The sequence below is a fragment of the Homo sapiens genome, chromosome 7 (genome assembly GCF_000001405.40).
Source record: "Homo sapiens chromosome 7, GRCh38.p14 Primary Assembly".
NCBI lineage: Eukaryota > Metazoa > Chordata > Mammalia > Primates > Hominidae > Homo > Homo sapiens.
In genome coordinates this window covers 117,809,662-117,824,767 of record NC_000007.14, presented here as the reverse complement: position 1 = coordinate 117,824,767, position 15,106 = coordinate 117,809,662, and the positions used below count along the sequence as shown (strand labels likewise).

Sequence of the window (15,106 nt, the reverse complement as noted above, 5' to 3'; positions counted from 1 at the left end):
GAAGCCAGATTGTGAAGGGTGGACTAGCTGTGAAGCTAGGGAAGAGAAAGCATTGAATGGGACATAGATCTTGGAGGCAGATTGCTGGGAGTGAGTCCAGGCTCCAAATTTCTAGCCATGCAGCTGTGGGCAAGTCCCTTGCCCTTTCTTGGTGCTACAGTTTTCTTATTTTTAAAATGAGCATCACAGTACCTACATAGTGTGATTGTTATGAGAACTTAAAGTATATCAGCAGAATTAAAGCATGTATTGGAAATAGCAGAAAAAATCAACACTGTTAAAAAATTGAATCAGTAACAAACTTAAGAAGATCTCCCGGAACCCAGTGGAAAGGATTAAAGTGATAAAGTAGAAATGAAGATTCGTGTATGTGCAAGATACAGAATGGAGATCCACCAGGAGAAAAATTGATGTTCCTCAAAGAGACCAGAACAAGTGGAATGAATTCTACCACCAAGATTTCACATAATTTTTAGATTAAAAGGGCTATATGCCCAGAATATACCAGCTGATGCCAAGAATAATCTTAAAATATTATGTATTTTAAGGTAAGAAAAAGAATTGGCTTAATAAGGTAAAAAAAAAAACCAGAAAGTTTACTGAAAAGGAGAAAAATCTACCTGACCTCAGGCTTGCTCTTGCATACTCTTGAATTCAGGAGATGTTGAAATTAATATCTACTGTTGTGAGGGTTACCGCCTAAGCATGTTTTTACCAGACCAAGGCAGTGTTTACATAAGAAGAAAGTAGAAATCATCCTCAAAGTGGAAAGAATATAAAATATTTCCACCTAATAGCTGCTTGAAAAAAAAAAAAGACCTGAAAGATTCCTTAGTTGGAAATAAGCATAAAGAAATTAGGTGAGCCTGGACAACATGGTGAAACCCTTTCTCTACAAAAAATACAAAAATTAGCCAGTAGTGGTGCTGTGTGCCTGTGGTCCCAGCTACTCTGGAGACTGAGCAGGGAGGATCACTTGAACCCAGGAGGTCAAGGCTGCAGTGAGACATGATTGCACTCCAGCCTGGGTGACAGAGCAAGACCCTGTCTCCAAAAACAAACGAAAAGTGTCCAAGAAGAGCAAGAAATCAGTTACTAGTTCTTATCCTTGGCTGGGGCATCAAAGGACTTAAGAGAATCAAGTGGACTTGCCATTGAGTGTTGACCTGACTCTGAATGTTTGTGGAGTTATGCAGGTGATTCTTATGCGTGGTTAGGATTGAGACCTGCTTTAGCAATTTTATTCAAGATAAAATAAATACAAAGAAAATTAGGCAAGTGAGGATATTACCAAATATATAAAAATATTTCTTTTATTTTCAAATTTATGCAAATTTATTTGAAAACATAAACCTTTCTAAGCTATTAAAGCAAATTTTAATATATTAAACAATTTTTTTCAACCACAAGACTTAATTTTATGAAAAAGTCTTTTAAATGTATCTCTAATTTACGTATAATTCCAATCAAAATCATAATTGCTTATTTTTCGAAGCAGATGAAATCTAAATTGCATCTAGAAGAATAAGCTGGTTGCATAGCAAATTTTAAGAAATGAACATTGTGAGAGAGTCTTGTCCTACTGGTTGGTAGCATTTACTAATATAAATTAAAACATTTACATTGGGGAATTATAAATAGAAAGACAAAGGAAACAATAGAAGATTCAATAACAGGGCCAGTGTTAAAGAGATAATACAGTTTATAATGATAAAAGGGACAATTTATCACAAAGACATAAGTGTTTATGTGGCTGATAACAGAGCCTCAATATACATGAAGCAAACATTGACAATTAAAAACAAATAGACAATTTCATAATCATAGTAGCTTTTAATACCTCTCTCAGTAATTAATTGAACAGCTAGAAAACTCAGTAAAAACATAGAAAACATAAACACCCTCAGCCACCTTGATGAATTGACATTTCTAGAGTATGAGATCCAACAATGCAGAAAACACACTCTGGTTAAGTGCATGTGGTGCATTTACTGAGGTAGACCATATGCTGGGCCATAAAACAAGTCTTAATTTAAATAATATGTATTCAGTGACCTCAATAGACTTAAATGAGAAATCAGTCGCAGTTAGCTATTTCGGAAAATTCCAAGTATCTGTGGATTTAAAAATATATATATCATGTGTCCAAGACAAAACCAAAAGGGATTTAGACAGTAATTTGAACTGAATGGCAGCAAATATACACGTCAAAACATTTGAGATGCAGCTAAAACAGTGCTTAGAGGAAAATTTAGAGCTCTAAAGGTTTATATTGAAAAGGAGAAAGATGTAAAATCAATGACCTATGGTTCTACTTTATGAAATGACAAAAAAGGCAGGAAAGTAAACACAAAGTAGAAGGGAAAAACTTTTTGTTAAAAGAAGCAGTCAATGAAATGCAAAATAGACATACAATAGGAAAAATAATAATAAAGAGTTGATTCATTGAAAAGATCAACAAAATTGAAATACTCCTAGCTAGAATGAACAAGAAAAAAAGAATGCAAATCACCAATATTAAGAATGGAAAAAGGGGATTAGCATTATAGATTCTACAGACATTAAAAGGATATTCAGTAAATACTATGAATACTTTTGACAACTTAGATAAATAGGCAAATTTCTTGAAAAAATACCACTTATAAAACTAATACAGGAAGGAATAAAAAATCCAAATAGCCTTGATTCTATTTTAAAAATTGAGTTCACTATCAAAAACTTTTCCCAAAAGGAAATTTCAGGCCTAGATGGTTTCCCTGGTAAATGGGTGAACTCATTTTATGAGGTCAGAGTATCGTAATCCCAAAACTGCAAAGGTATTAAAAAGAAAAAATTACAGAGTAATACTCATAACTATAGATGTAAAAAATCCTAAACAGGCCAGGCGCGGTGGCTCACGCCTGTAATCCCAGCACTTTGGGAGGCCGAGGTGGGTGGATCACAAGGTCAGGAGATCGAGACCATCCTGGCTAACACAGTGAAACCCCATCTCTACTAAAAACACACAAAAAATTAGCTGGGCCTGGTGGCCGGCGCCTGTAGTCCCAGCTACTCGGGAGGCTGAGTCAGGAGAATGGCTTGAACCTGGGAGGCAGAGCTTGCAGTGAGCCGAGATTGCACCACTGCACTCCAGCCTGGGCGACAGAGAGAGACTTCGTCTCAAAAAAAAAAAAAAAAAATCCTAAACAGAATATTAGCAAATTGAATTTCAAGCAATATACCATAATCAAAGAGTTTAATATTCAAACATCAAACAAAATTCAGTGTATTAACAATATAAAGGATAAAAACCACATATTCTCATTAATAGATGCAGAAAAATATTTGAAAAATTTCAACAGCAAACCAGGAATAGTAAAGAACTTCAAAGTGATAAAGGGTGCAGCTATTAAAAAACAAAAAACAAAAAGAAAACTGAAAAACAACAACAAAAAAAAAACCACACAGCCAACATAATTGAGGGATGCAATTTAGACAGGAATAAGAAAAGCACTTAGCACTTTTACAGCACTTTTGTTCAAGGTAGTGCTGGAAATCCTAGCCATTGCAAGATGGGAATAAAATAAAAAGCATAAAGAAGTAAAACTGTCACTTCCACAGATATTGCTTATGTAAAAATTCTACGTAATCTTCAAAAACAACTACTGAAACCAAAAAAGGAATTTATAAAATGTGTAGAATTAAGAAGTTTGTATTGAAAAATCAGTTATAGTCCTACATACTATTAGAAAAATATTTAGAAAGTGAAATTTAAATAATTTCTTTGCAGTAGCATAAAAAATATAAGAATAAACCTAACAAAATATATTCAAAACAAAGCTTTTATGCTGAAGACAAAATGAAAATTGCTGAGAGAATATAAAATGACTTACCAAACTCAATTAAAATTTCAGGAGACTTTTAAAAATCTTACAAACTGATTCTAAAATTTATGTGGAAAAACAGAGATCTTGGAATAACAAAAGCAATTTAAAAAAAGAATTTTAAGGACTTAACCTGCCTGATTTCAGCACTTATTATAAAGCAACGAAACCTACATATACCTCATGGAATAGAATAAAGAATCCAGAAATAGAGTCACATATGTGGTCAGTTGATTTTCAACAAAGGCATCAGAGATATTCAATGGGGAAAGGCTAGTCTTTTCAGCAGATGATTGAAAAATTGAATCTATATGTGGAAAAATTGAACATCAACCCTTTATTTCTAACACCATACACAAATATTGCCTCAAAGTGGATCATGAACTTAAAAGCTAAATATATGCAACTTCCAGGAGAAAATCTTTAGACTTCAAATTAGACAAAGGTTTCTTGCTATTAAATAGAAGATAAAAAACATGAAACTTTAAAAAGTGGTTAAATTGGATTTCATCAAAATTAAAAACGTATTCTCTGGAAGTAAAGATCTAACTAATGGTAATATTTCAGTGCCCAGGGCAGAAATAGTGGGTTGGTTAATCTGTGCTCCAGTTATTGACAGGTGGTGGCTGTCTGGAGTCTTAATAAGACAGTTGGACGTTGTTCTGGATTCAGCTTTATGTGCACTGATAATTTAATAGTATCTACCCTGGGCAAGAGAGTGGAACAGTGCAGCACTTGTATACCATTCTTGACCTAGTTAGGGAATAAAGGTGATGTTATTTTCTACAAATGAGCATGGGCTCCCACATCAGAGCATGAGCACTAATGAATGTGTGCAAGGTGGTAAGTGGCATACAAGGTCAAAAGAAAATGGTAGGAGATTTCGGAAAGGAGAGAGATTACTTCTGGCTCTGACTTCTGTGCAACCAAGCCTTTCATGAATTCTGCTAATATGGTCTACACTTTGAGAGAAAATTGGTGGTTTATTGAAGTATGCCTTCCAGATTTTAGCTTTGGGAACAAAATAAATCAAAGTCTTGGTATGATTCACAATATGCATTATGTATATTCCTGGCATGACAATTTCCACACCTCCAGATTATGATGTCTATGAGCAGGTAGGACATTGTAGGTGGCAGATAGGTTGGGGGATGAAGGTGGGAGGTGAGAGGGAAGAGGAAAAGCTTACCTCTTCTCTGACATTCTCAGCATTGCACAGAAAATCATTTGACGCCATGACATTCTCCTTCACTTCTGTGGCTCAAGTATATCTTCACACACAGATGCAGTGTCTGAGATGCAGACACTGAAATGAACCCTTCCGTTCTTTTCTCATTTAAGTCATAATTCTAGAAGTTATTTTTCATTCCTGGCCAGTGAATTTCTAAGGCTTTCTGATCATTGAAGGGCATTGGGAAGTAATTATCCTTCTCCAGATGACTGTGTAACTTTTATATTGCTATTCCACTCTGCAGTCACCCAGCCATTCCGTGTGTGTGTGTGTGTGTGTGTGTGTGTGTGTGTGTGTGTGTGTGTGAGAGAGAGAGAAGGAGAAAAGAGAAAGAGTATGTGAATGTGTAAACTCACTCCTCTGCTATTCAACCCCTCTTAGAGCGAGAATGAGTTCTGAGGACCATGGCTTATCTCTGGCTTCCCATTCCCTTTTATTTACAAATAGGATTTTCCCCCTTCCTTCTTAAAAGAGCTTTTAATTTTAGTGTTATTTAATGTTGGTCTACTTGAACTCCTTTACACTAAGACAGAGAGTTACAGCTGGATAGATAAATTTTTATGTTGACTGTTTGGAAAAATCTCTATGTATTTTCTATCCTTTTTGATTTTGAGTCATAGAATTTCAGGGTTTGAGAGGGATATAACAGTTTAGAAGCCAAGGACCTTCCTGACTTTTGAGACTCCTGAGTTACATTTCTGTCATGTGTTTTTTCAGCCTGTGTTTGAAACACAGCTGGAGACAGAGATTTTGTTCCAATCAAATGCAGCTCGTTGTATCTGTGGAAAAGCTTTGACCCTTAAAAATTCTTTATTATATTAGCCATAATTTTATTCCTTGGGAATCATGTAAATAAATCATCAAACACCTCTTCAAACATAAAATGCTTTCAGATATTGAAAGAGTACCATCTGGAAGGCTTTTCCTCTTTCAAGCATCCCTAGTTCTTTCTGCTCTTCCTCTTCAGTCTTGTTTTCAGATCCTTTTGCTATTGGTTGTTCTTTGAATACTTCAGCCAAAAGTGAGTCCAGAAGTCCAGTTCTGACACCTGTTCTCTACTGAATAATGAAGTCTGGGGTTGAGTTGCTGATTTGGAGGAGGGGCAGTGTCCATTTCATGGCTTGGTGGTTCAATATCTTGTTAATTGACACCCCTAAGTGTTTTTCATGCTTGCTTCTGTGTTTGTACTCAAGAACTGACTCACATTTCTTCCTGAAAAAGTCCATCTTGTCAGAGTTGACTCAACATTTTGCCATCCGCTGTGGCTTTTTGTATCATTGGCACCCAAGATAGTGACAGCTGTGTTGAGCGGGTTAGAGCTGAGTACAGAATTCCTTAGCAGTCTTCTTACAGTTAGATCTATATTAATGCTGGTTTTTGGTTTTTTTTTATTATTCTTAGGTAACCAGTGGTTTGTGAAAGCATATCTGGAAACCATTTTTATTGTTGGATTTATACTTAAATAATATATTCTGTGCAGAATCTTGAAAAACTGTTTAAGTCTGATTAGATCATGTTAGTATATGGTCAGTAATAATGGAAGTACAAATACAGCATATAGAAAACTAACTTTTGAGAACATTGTCATATTTTTGTCTTTCTTTTAAACCTAATTTCTTTGTTCTGATTTAAAAAGTGTTGTAAACAGTAATTATTTTTGAAGCCTTTTCTAGTGTTCCAAAATACTCTAGTCATAATTATCTTTCCATGCTTAAAAATGTAGGCTTTAGAGTAAGACTTGCCTGGGTTGAGTATCAGCTGCTGTTAAAGTGACCTTAGGCAAGCAAGTTAATTTTTGTAAGCCTCAGTCTGCTTATCTATAAAATGTGAATTAAAATAATGGCTATCTCCTGGGCTTATTTTTAGGACAAAATGCATAAAAAGCACCTAGCAATAAATAATGTCAATAAAAGTTTTTTTTGTTAGTATTATTTTTTAAATTGTTACAGAATTATTCTGGCTTTTCATAAAATGAAAAGCTTATAAGCTTGTCAGTATGTTTTGAAATTGGTAGTGTTTTATAATGTTTTAATTATGACTCACAGTGCAAGTTCTAGTTTCTGTTTCTCAGAGGATTACATGCTATAGGAAAGGTTGGATATTTTAAGTACGCTTTCTTTTATTTTCACTAATGTGCAAACTAGTTCAATTGATTATATCAAACAAGGAAAGCCAAAGTAGGAACCTCATGTATGTGAAACCCTCTGGTAATAATGGTCAACTTTCAACTTCCTGCTTACGACATTCTCAACAAGATTTTCTAAAACTTCACATTCTGATGAAATTATATATATATATATATATATATATATTTTTTTTTTTTTTTTTTTTTTTTTTTTTGAGATGGAGTCTTGCTCTGTCACCCAGGCTGGAGTGCAGTGGCACAATCGCAGCTCACTGCAAGCTCCGCCTTCCGGGTTTACGCCATTCTCCTGCCTCAGCCTCTCGAGTAGCTGGGACTACAGGCACCCACCACCACACCCGGCTAATATTTTGTGTTTTTAGTAGAGGGGTTTCACCATGTTAGCCAGGATGGTCTGGATCTCTTGACCTCGTGATGTGCCCATCTCGACCTCCCAAAGTGCTCGGATTACAGGTGTGAGCCACCACACCCGGCCGAAATTATATTTTTATACATCAGTGTGGCTAGGTTTAAGAGTTCCTTTAAGAGTCTGTTTTTATTATTAAAACTAGTTTATGTCTTCATAATGACTCATTTCCCTAAAGTGCGTTTCATTCTCAAGTAATTCTGATCCATAAACCAAGTCATTCTCTACATATTCAGCTCTTCCTTTTTTAGGGTCAGGCCTCCTCAAACCCAGCGTAATAAACATTTCAAGTCATTTTTTGTTACATGGTCTCCTTACCTATTAAAACATGTCTATGTTGTTGATCTGCCTTTATTAAACATAATGTAATACATTAAAAATTAAAAATAAGCACTCTGTTGCAAAGTAAGATTTTAAGAGCAGTAAACTTTTTACAAGAACGTTAGAAGGAATACACATTTTGTTTGTTGAAAAGCAGGTAAACTGAAGAGATTTCAAGTGGCTTGGACATATGTTTCATTACAGATGTTTCCTTGAATCCAAATTAGGCTAAACTCTGAACCTTTTGACATGAGCACAAGAAGAAGAGGGGGCAGTGAGGGTTGGCAGTTCATGGGGAGATATGTGGGTGAAGGAGGGGAAGCATCCCAAGCAACACAAAGGCCTGGGGCAAAAGAGTGCTGAAAGGCTTTGAGCAGAGAAATGACTGAGAAGGCTTCCATTTTAGAAAGACTACTCCAACAACTGTGTGGTGTACAGAGTGCCTCCATGCTGCACAGTTCAGGGGGTGCAAAGAACAATGATCATTACAAAGCACGGTGAACCATAGAAAACCAACTGATATACCCTGTAGTTCTCCTGGAACTGCTCTCACCTGGCTTTAGGTTGGAGAGCTGATGAATCCTTCCTGGGATCCCAGCTTTCTACCTTAGGCAGTGGGTGAACTGATCCTTAGCTATCATTTTCTCTAGAATTAGTCCTGCATAGAGGAGTCTGACATTGGCCTAACTTCCTCTCCAGGTTCCTGGGAAGATTGCCCCCCTGGGAAGGAGACTTCCCTCCAACAAGGAAATGTGGTCTGAGCTCTTTCTTCAAGGATACATCTGCTATTTTCCTAAGTCTGTTAGATGCTACCTTTATTCAGTCAACAAGTATGCATTATGCACCTGTTTTTTGCCCTGTAGTGGGTTGGATGCGTCAGTTAAATACAAGTACCCCCACTTAAAAGGAACTCAAGGCAAAATGCTTAGGAGAAGATATAGGCCAGTGAGCCCCAGAGTCCCTTAATCACAGATGATAAACTGGGTGTCCTGCTGTCCAAACCAGGCCTGCCAGTTGTATTTTGTTTCACTGGCAGTGTCATGATTTTTTAAAAAAACGTGAATGCCTTTTGTTAGAACATATCATCTCTAGTTCCTCAAAAATCTGCCATTTCACACTGATTAATAGCATGCCAAATATACACACTGATGTTGGCTACCTGGCCCCTGCATACATTTGTGGGAGTCAGCGCTGCCCAGCATCCTAATAGTGGGGAGCCTGTTGTTGGATCTTGAAATTTCCAAGTCACCGAAAGTTCCTGGTTAGATAATTGGATCTACTATATTTTCTATTCCTCCATCTGGGAAAACTCATCCACTGGGGGTAGGATATATTTATATAGAAAAGTAACTTTCTATTTCTCTCTGGTAATAATTTTAAAAATACATTATATTATTCCAACATTAAATATATCAAAATATTTTTTAAAATTAGTTATTAGTGGGAGATTTGTCATATTCTGTGTTGTGAGTGCACTGCATTCATATTATAGCATCTTGTCTTCATGTCCTATTCTTATTTAATCTATGAGTTTTCACCATGGAATCAAAATGGGCAACTGCATTCTAATTTATAAGCTTGATAGAAAACTGTAGACCGAAAAGCACATTTTAATTGTTAGAATTACGTATTTCTAGAAACCCTTGCTATAAGACAAGAATATCAAAAGTACATTTTGAATATATGTAATATACACAAATAAATGCATATGTGGTCATAGAACAACATTATTACCTGGCATCTCTGAAAATAATAAATATGAGTTTAGGATGTTAATGAAGAACACGTGGTCTTTGACATTCATTTTTGCCTGGTTTTCATGCTTTTAGGGACTTAAAAATGAAAGAATGAGATCAGGTTTTTTGTCTAAACTCAAGGTGTCTTAAGCAACAAATAATACTGCTTCATTTCTCTCATTTTGACAACTAAAGATATCAGCAACACAGTTGCATAGCTAGTTAGCAACAAATACAAAGCCACTGTTTTTACCCTTAAAGGAATCTAATGTACATATTTTATACTTCGTAAAGGCTAAATGTCAGTCCATATTTGTGAAGCAAATAAATTGGTGGTTTTAGGCTGTCACGGAGGCTCACTCCTGTAATCCCAGTACTTTGTGAGGCTGAGGCAGGAGGATTGCTTGAGCTTAGGAGTTCAAGATCAGCCTGAGCAACATAGTGAGACTTCATCTCTACCAAAAATTTAAAAATTAGCTGGGCGTAGTGGCACGTGCCTATAGTCTCAGCTACTCGGGAAGCTGAGGTGTGGGAAGATCACTAAAGCCTGAGAGTTCAAGGCTACAGTGAGCCGTGATCACGCCACTGCACTCCAGCCTGGGTGGCAGAGCAAGACCCTATCTCAAAATAAATAAATAGGCAGTTTTATGTTTATGAACCTGTACATGTATTGTTATACAACATTTTCAGCAGAAAAAAATTCGTCTGCATTTAACAGTGTCACAATATGACTCAGTTAAAACTAGTAATTTTAAAATAAAAAAACACAACAAAAATACACATGTAAAAAACTATTTCACACCAGTAAGAAAAAAAAAAAGAATTAAATGCTTTTTGACCATAAAATCTGTTGGGTAAAACTGGAACTAGGTCTGTGATATATGTATTTACCTCTCATATTATACAAAAAATTAATTTTAATTTTTAACCCACTTATCAAAAAGTTTACTCAGACTTAATAACCTGTGTGTTAAGAAATTGCTTGATTAGTGTTACAAGTACTGTACATCATAAAATATGTTGTGTGGGTGAGTAGACACCAGGTAATTACAATGAGTTGTTAAAATGTCAGTTTCAGCAGATAACTCATCATAATAAATATCAGATACCAAAGTGAGGAACAAGATGCAAATTATTGTAAGAAATATTTAAAAGCTAGTGTTGACTTTTAAACCTTTCATCCACATTGAGGGTATAAAATAATGTAGTTTTTGGAGATTAAAGAAAGATTTCTATCAGAGAGCATTTCTCTGCAGAGAATTGTGCTGTGAGTCCTGCCTCATCCAGTTGCTTCTCCCTTCATCTGAAGAGAAAAGGGGTTCAGAGAGACTTTTGAATGACAATAGGTTTTTCCTGCAGATCTTGGTGGGCTCAGTGGAGGTGGGGCTGAACAAGCAGTCATTCTGCAGACGTGAAGGAGAGATAGACGCGGAGATCTTATTGTAGAGACTCCCAGCTTTTGTTTAGATAAAGATCCATGAGTGTTTCCTGTAGACCATGTTGGGCCATGGTCTTGAAATGGTAGGAATGAGATTGATTCAGGTCCTGTTCAATAGGGAAGTCTGGAGAGAACATGGGACCTCAGTTGTCAAAAGGTGGATTCCAAATGCTAATGAGAGTATGCAGGGCTTGGCTTCATGGGTGTGCAACCTGTACAGTCGCAAAGGCCATGCATTTAGAAGGGCCCCTTGTCTGGTTAAATGCTGTGCTGTTGCCATATTGAAATGCTTAATAATTTTGAACAAAAAGCCCATGTCTTCATTTTGCAGTGGGTCCTGCAGATTATGTAGTTTGTCCTACATTTATGGCCTACATTGAAGAAACTGTAGATGAAGGGGTCCCAGCAGTGCAAAAGGGGGTGTTCCTCTAAGAAATCACCAGGCACTTCATGGGAAAAGAATAGACTTTAAATATTCTTCACACTGGGTTGGTAAAGCTAGCTGACCACCTGAACCAGTCCGGTACGACATTCCTGCTCCCTTCACCTCTCCTGTATCATCTACCTCCAGTCCTTTCCAACCCAGAGGTGACTAAAACAGCTTAGAAAGAGGAGGAGAAGGTTTTGGGAAAAGGAGAGAGGTTTTCATATATACCTCTTTGCTGAGTGGTAAATGTTAGCCTGCAGCAGATGCTAGCTGATGAAGGAAGCTGCCGTACCACCGAATGAAGATGGACATTCTAATAATCAAATAGAGGCTATTTTGGCTCAAAGTGACTGTAGGTCTTTTATTAAATTAAAACGATTAGGAAAAAACATAGAATTATCCAAGTGTTAATCCAAGGGTGGGAGAAGAACTGCTACACTGAATAAATATTAAGAAAAATGTGAAGGGCAAAATGAAATTGCTTTTGAAATTGCATCTCTCAAGTGATACTTATTCAGTGTATTGATTACATGATTGAATTTAAAGAATCTAGAAACACCGAGTGCTTTTAGCTCATAAACCTTACCTTTTAAGTTTAAAGTGGTCTTCTGAAAGCTAGCTTAAATTTAATTGTGAAACTGGACTTTTTGTAAATTTTATTTATTAATCTAAGTTGATGATAAGGAAAGAAATGTTAGATTTTTCCCATTTGTCATTAGATTTGTGTTTATCTAGTTGTTGGCTTGCTGATAGTGGCCTAAAATGGAAAAGTGTAGTTTTCCAATTCAGTTCCCTTTAAAGTATGGAACTGTATGCATTAATAATATTTCTTCAGAAGACATGTTTAATGTTTTGGACAAATAAGCTTGATTTATTATAACTTAATTTTTTTACTGGCAGTGACATAGATTTTTTTTCATTCTAGTGGCTATTCCAAAATGACCTGAATTAGGAAAATGTTGCTAGCTTTTAATACATTTCTACTGCTATTTTCCATTTTTATGCAATGACTTTGTAGGCTAATTATAGAAAATTGCATTTGGTCCTCATTGCGTGGGTGTGAAATTAACTTTGTCGCTGATGGACTGACATTTAGAGTATAATTAAGTTGCATACTTTCCTGGGATTCTGTGAACTATATTTTAATGCCCTTCAGTGAGAAAGAGATAGATGCCTTTTAAAGTTTTTTGAAGGCTGTTGTAGTTGGTCAAATTTTACAAACTACGAATATTGTTATTTATTTTTACATTAAAAATTTTAATTTTTTTAATTAAAATTTTTACATTAAAATTTTAATTTAATTAAAATTTTTACATTAAAATTTTAATTTAATTAAAATTTTTACATTAAAATTTTAATTTAATTAAAATTTTAATTTAATTAAAATTTTTACATTAAAAATTTCACAAAGAATTTTCTTCTTACCAGACATCCATGTGATTTCCTTCTGGCTATAAAAAACCTATAGGGGATTTTTTGTATGCGTGATTTAACCTGATATTATTTTAAATGTAAGTTCTATCGATATAGAGATAATTTTATTTTTGAACTTTAGCTAAAAATTATTTTAATTGTCAATATTTCTGATTTTACATTAAATTAGAAAAGACTAGGTGGGGCATGGTGGCTCCCAGCACTTTGGGAGGCCAAGGCTGGGGGATTACTTGAGCCCAGGAGTTTGAGACCAGCCTGGACAACAAAGTGAGATCCCATCTTAATTAAAAAATCAAAAAAATTAGCTGGGTGTGGTGGCATGCACCTATAGTTCCAGCTATAAGACAGGCTGAGGCAGGAGGATTGTTTGAGCCCAGGAGGTTGAGACTGCAGTGAGCTGTGATTGTGCCACTGCATTCCAGCCTGGATGACAGAGCAAGACCCTGTTGGGCGGGGTGGAGGGGTGGGGGTGTAAAAAAAGACTGCTGCTTAAATTCTGATCCTTGAGGAGTAGGGCACCATAGGAAATAACTATATTTGCATCATTTGTAATGTAAAATTCAATATTCTTGAAGAAAATTTGAAAGCAGATGGAATGGCATTCCAGGCTAGTGGAGACTGGGGGTCACATTTGCCTCTCACTCACCACTGACATCATAAGCCATTACTCACAGCAGTTGAGAATACCATTTGGAAGTATAATCACAAAACCTTCTTATAAATATCTTTCTGTATATTTTCATTTCTTTCTTCAATACATTTCTCTAATTTTGTTCCAGGCTCGCAGGAAGGAGGTATTTATCCAGGAACGGTATGGGAGATTTAATCTAAATGACCCGTTCCTGGCACTCCAGAGAGACTATGAAGCAGGTGCTGGTGACAAAGAGAAGAAGCCAGTTTGTACCAACCCCCTCTCCATCCTTGAAGCAGTCATGGCCCACTGCAAGAAAATGCAAGAAAGGATGTCCGCACAGCTGGCTGCTGCTGAGAGCAGACAAAAGAAGGTATTGAGGCGTTCAAATGGTCATTTTCCCCACAACATGGTGTCCAATGAGGAGATCACCTCCAAAGTTGTTTGTTCTTCAGTATTATATTTTCAGACAGGATTGCAATAAGTACTTAGAAGTGCAAGAGGCTGACAGATTCTTTAAGCCAATGTAACCTAGTGTTTAAAGTGTAACTCAAAATAACACTAAACCATAAAGGAAGTATAACAGAAAAATTATGTTTCTGATAATGGTTACTTTGATACTTTCTTTAAAATCTCTCTCTATATATATGTTTTTGGACTTCCTAGTGCCTTCTAGAAAACATGCTTAGCTGCTAGGTAGGTTAATCCAGTGATGCAACCAGGACTCTTTGATCATATAGTAACATCCCAACTTACTGTATCTAGCTTCTGTCTAAAATAGTTATTTGCAATTAGAAATTATTTTATTATTTCTTAATTTTGGCGGGGGGAAATGAAAATAACATGAAGAAAATGGAATGCATGTTTGCGTGGTATGTCCAGTCTCACAATGTGTCATCTTAAAGTCCTGGTTAGTGTCAGACTCACCTCTGGGGTGTGATAGCTGTGTCAGCTGCAGACCTCAAGCCTCCTGCTCACATGTGTTTCATTTAAACCAACCTCCTCCTCCTCTCCCCCTCCCCCACCATCACACACATATTCCTTTCACTTGAGTATCTGCTTCAAAGAGTACAAAGTTCAATGAAAACTTGTGGTGATAATAAGGAAATAAGTAAATAGAAATTTAAATTTTGCCCTTCTAATATGCTGCCAAGACTATCGATGCCTTTTATTAGAAAAGAGAGTGAGAAAGCTAGAAGCTCATGCTGTGTGGTTTGATTAAAATTAAAACTAATATGTTCTCTCCACCATTATTATTAAAGCATAAATTAAAATGTTTCTTTTATTTGGCCTCTTCAGAGAACTTCTGATATCTCATATGTAACACCTAGTTGATGGTTAACCTGAATGCACTATACTTATAAATATTTATGATACATATTGTCATTTCATGCGTGTCTTTTCCCTGAAATTTCATCTTTACATTAACATATAAATGTTAGTGTTCTGGTGTAGGTGCTGCATAAAAGGAAACAT

At 36.0% G+C, this 15,106-nt stretch overlaps 1 protein-coding gene across 12 annotated transcripts in view, besides 2 other annotated features; it reads left to right on the top strand.

Moving 5' to 3' along the window:
• CTTNBP2 (cortactin binding protein 2) overlaps window positions 1-15,106 on the top strand; it is a 162,791-nt gene that overhangs the window by 48,674 nt on the left and 99,011 nt on the right. For all 12 annotated transcript variants that reach the window (NM_001363351.1, NM_033427.3, XM_024446964.2 and 9 more), the window contains exon 3: window positions 13,779-14,003. Coding sequence is in view for 10 of the 12 variants with exons in the window: in NM_033427.3 (NP_219499.1) it covers window positions 13,779-14,003 (225 nt within the window). In the remaining 2 variants the exon portion in view is untranslated. The remainder of the gene's footprint in view (window positions 1-13,778; window positions 14,004-15,106) is intronic.
• Window positions 13,359-14,105: an enhancer, noted in NCBI's record as "OCT4-NANOG hESC enhancer chr7:117450717-117451463 (GRCh37/hg19 assembly coordinates)". NCBI's record gives its function as "activates a minimal SCP1, AML or CMV promoter by ChIP-STARR-seq in naive and primed H9 embryonic stem cells {active_cell/tissue: H9 hESC(naive and primed)}" and the evidence as "EXISTENCE:reporter gene assay evidence [ECO:0000049][PMID:30033119]".
• Window positions 14,106-14,854: an enhancer, noted in NCBI's record as "OCT4-NANOG hESC enhancer chr7:117449968-117450716 (GRCh37/hg19 assembly coordinates)". NCBI's record gives its function as "activates a minimal SCP1, AML or CMV promoter by ChIP-STARR-seq in naive and primed H9 embryonic stem cells {active_cell/tissue: H9 hESC(naive and primed)}" and the evidence as "EXISTENCE:reporter gene assay evidence [ECO:0000049][PMID:30033119]".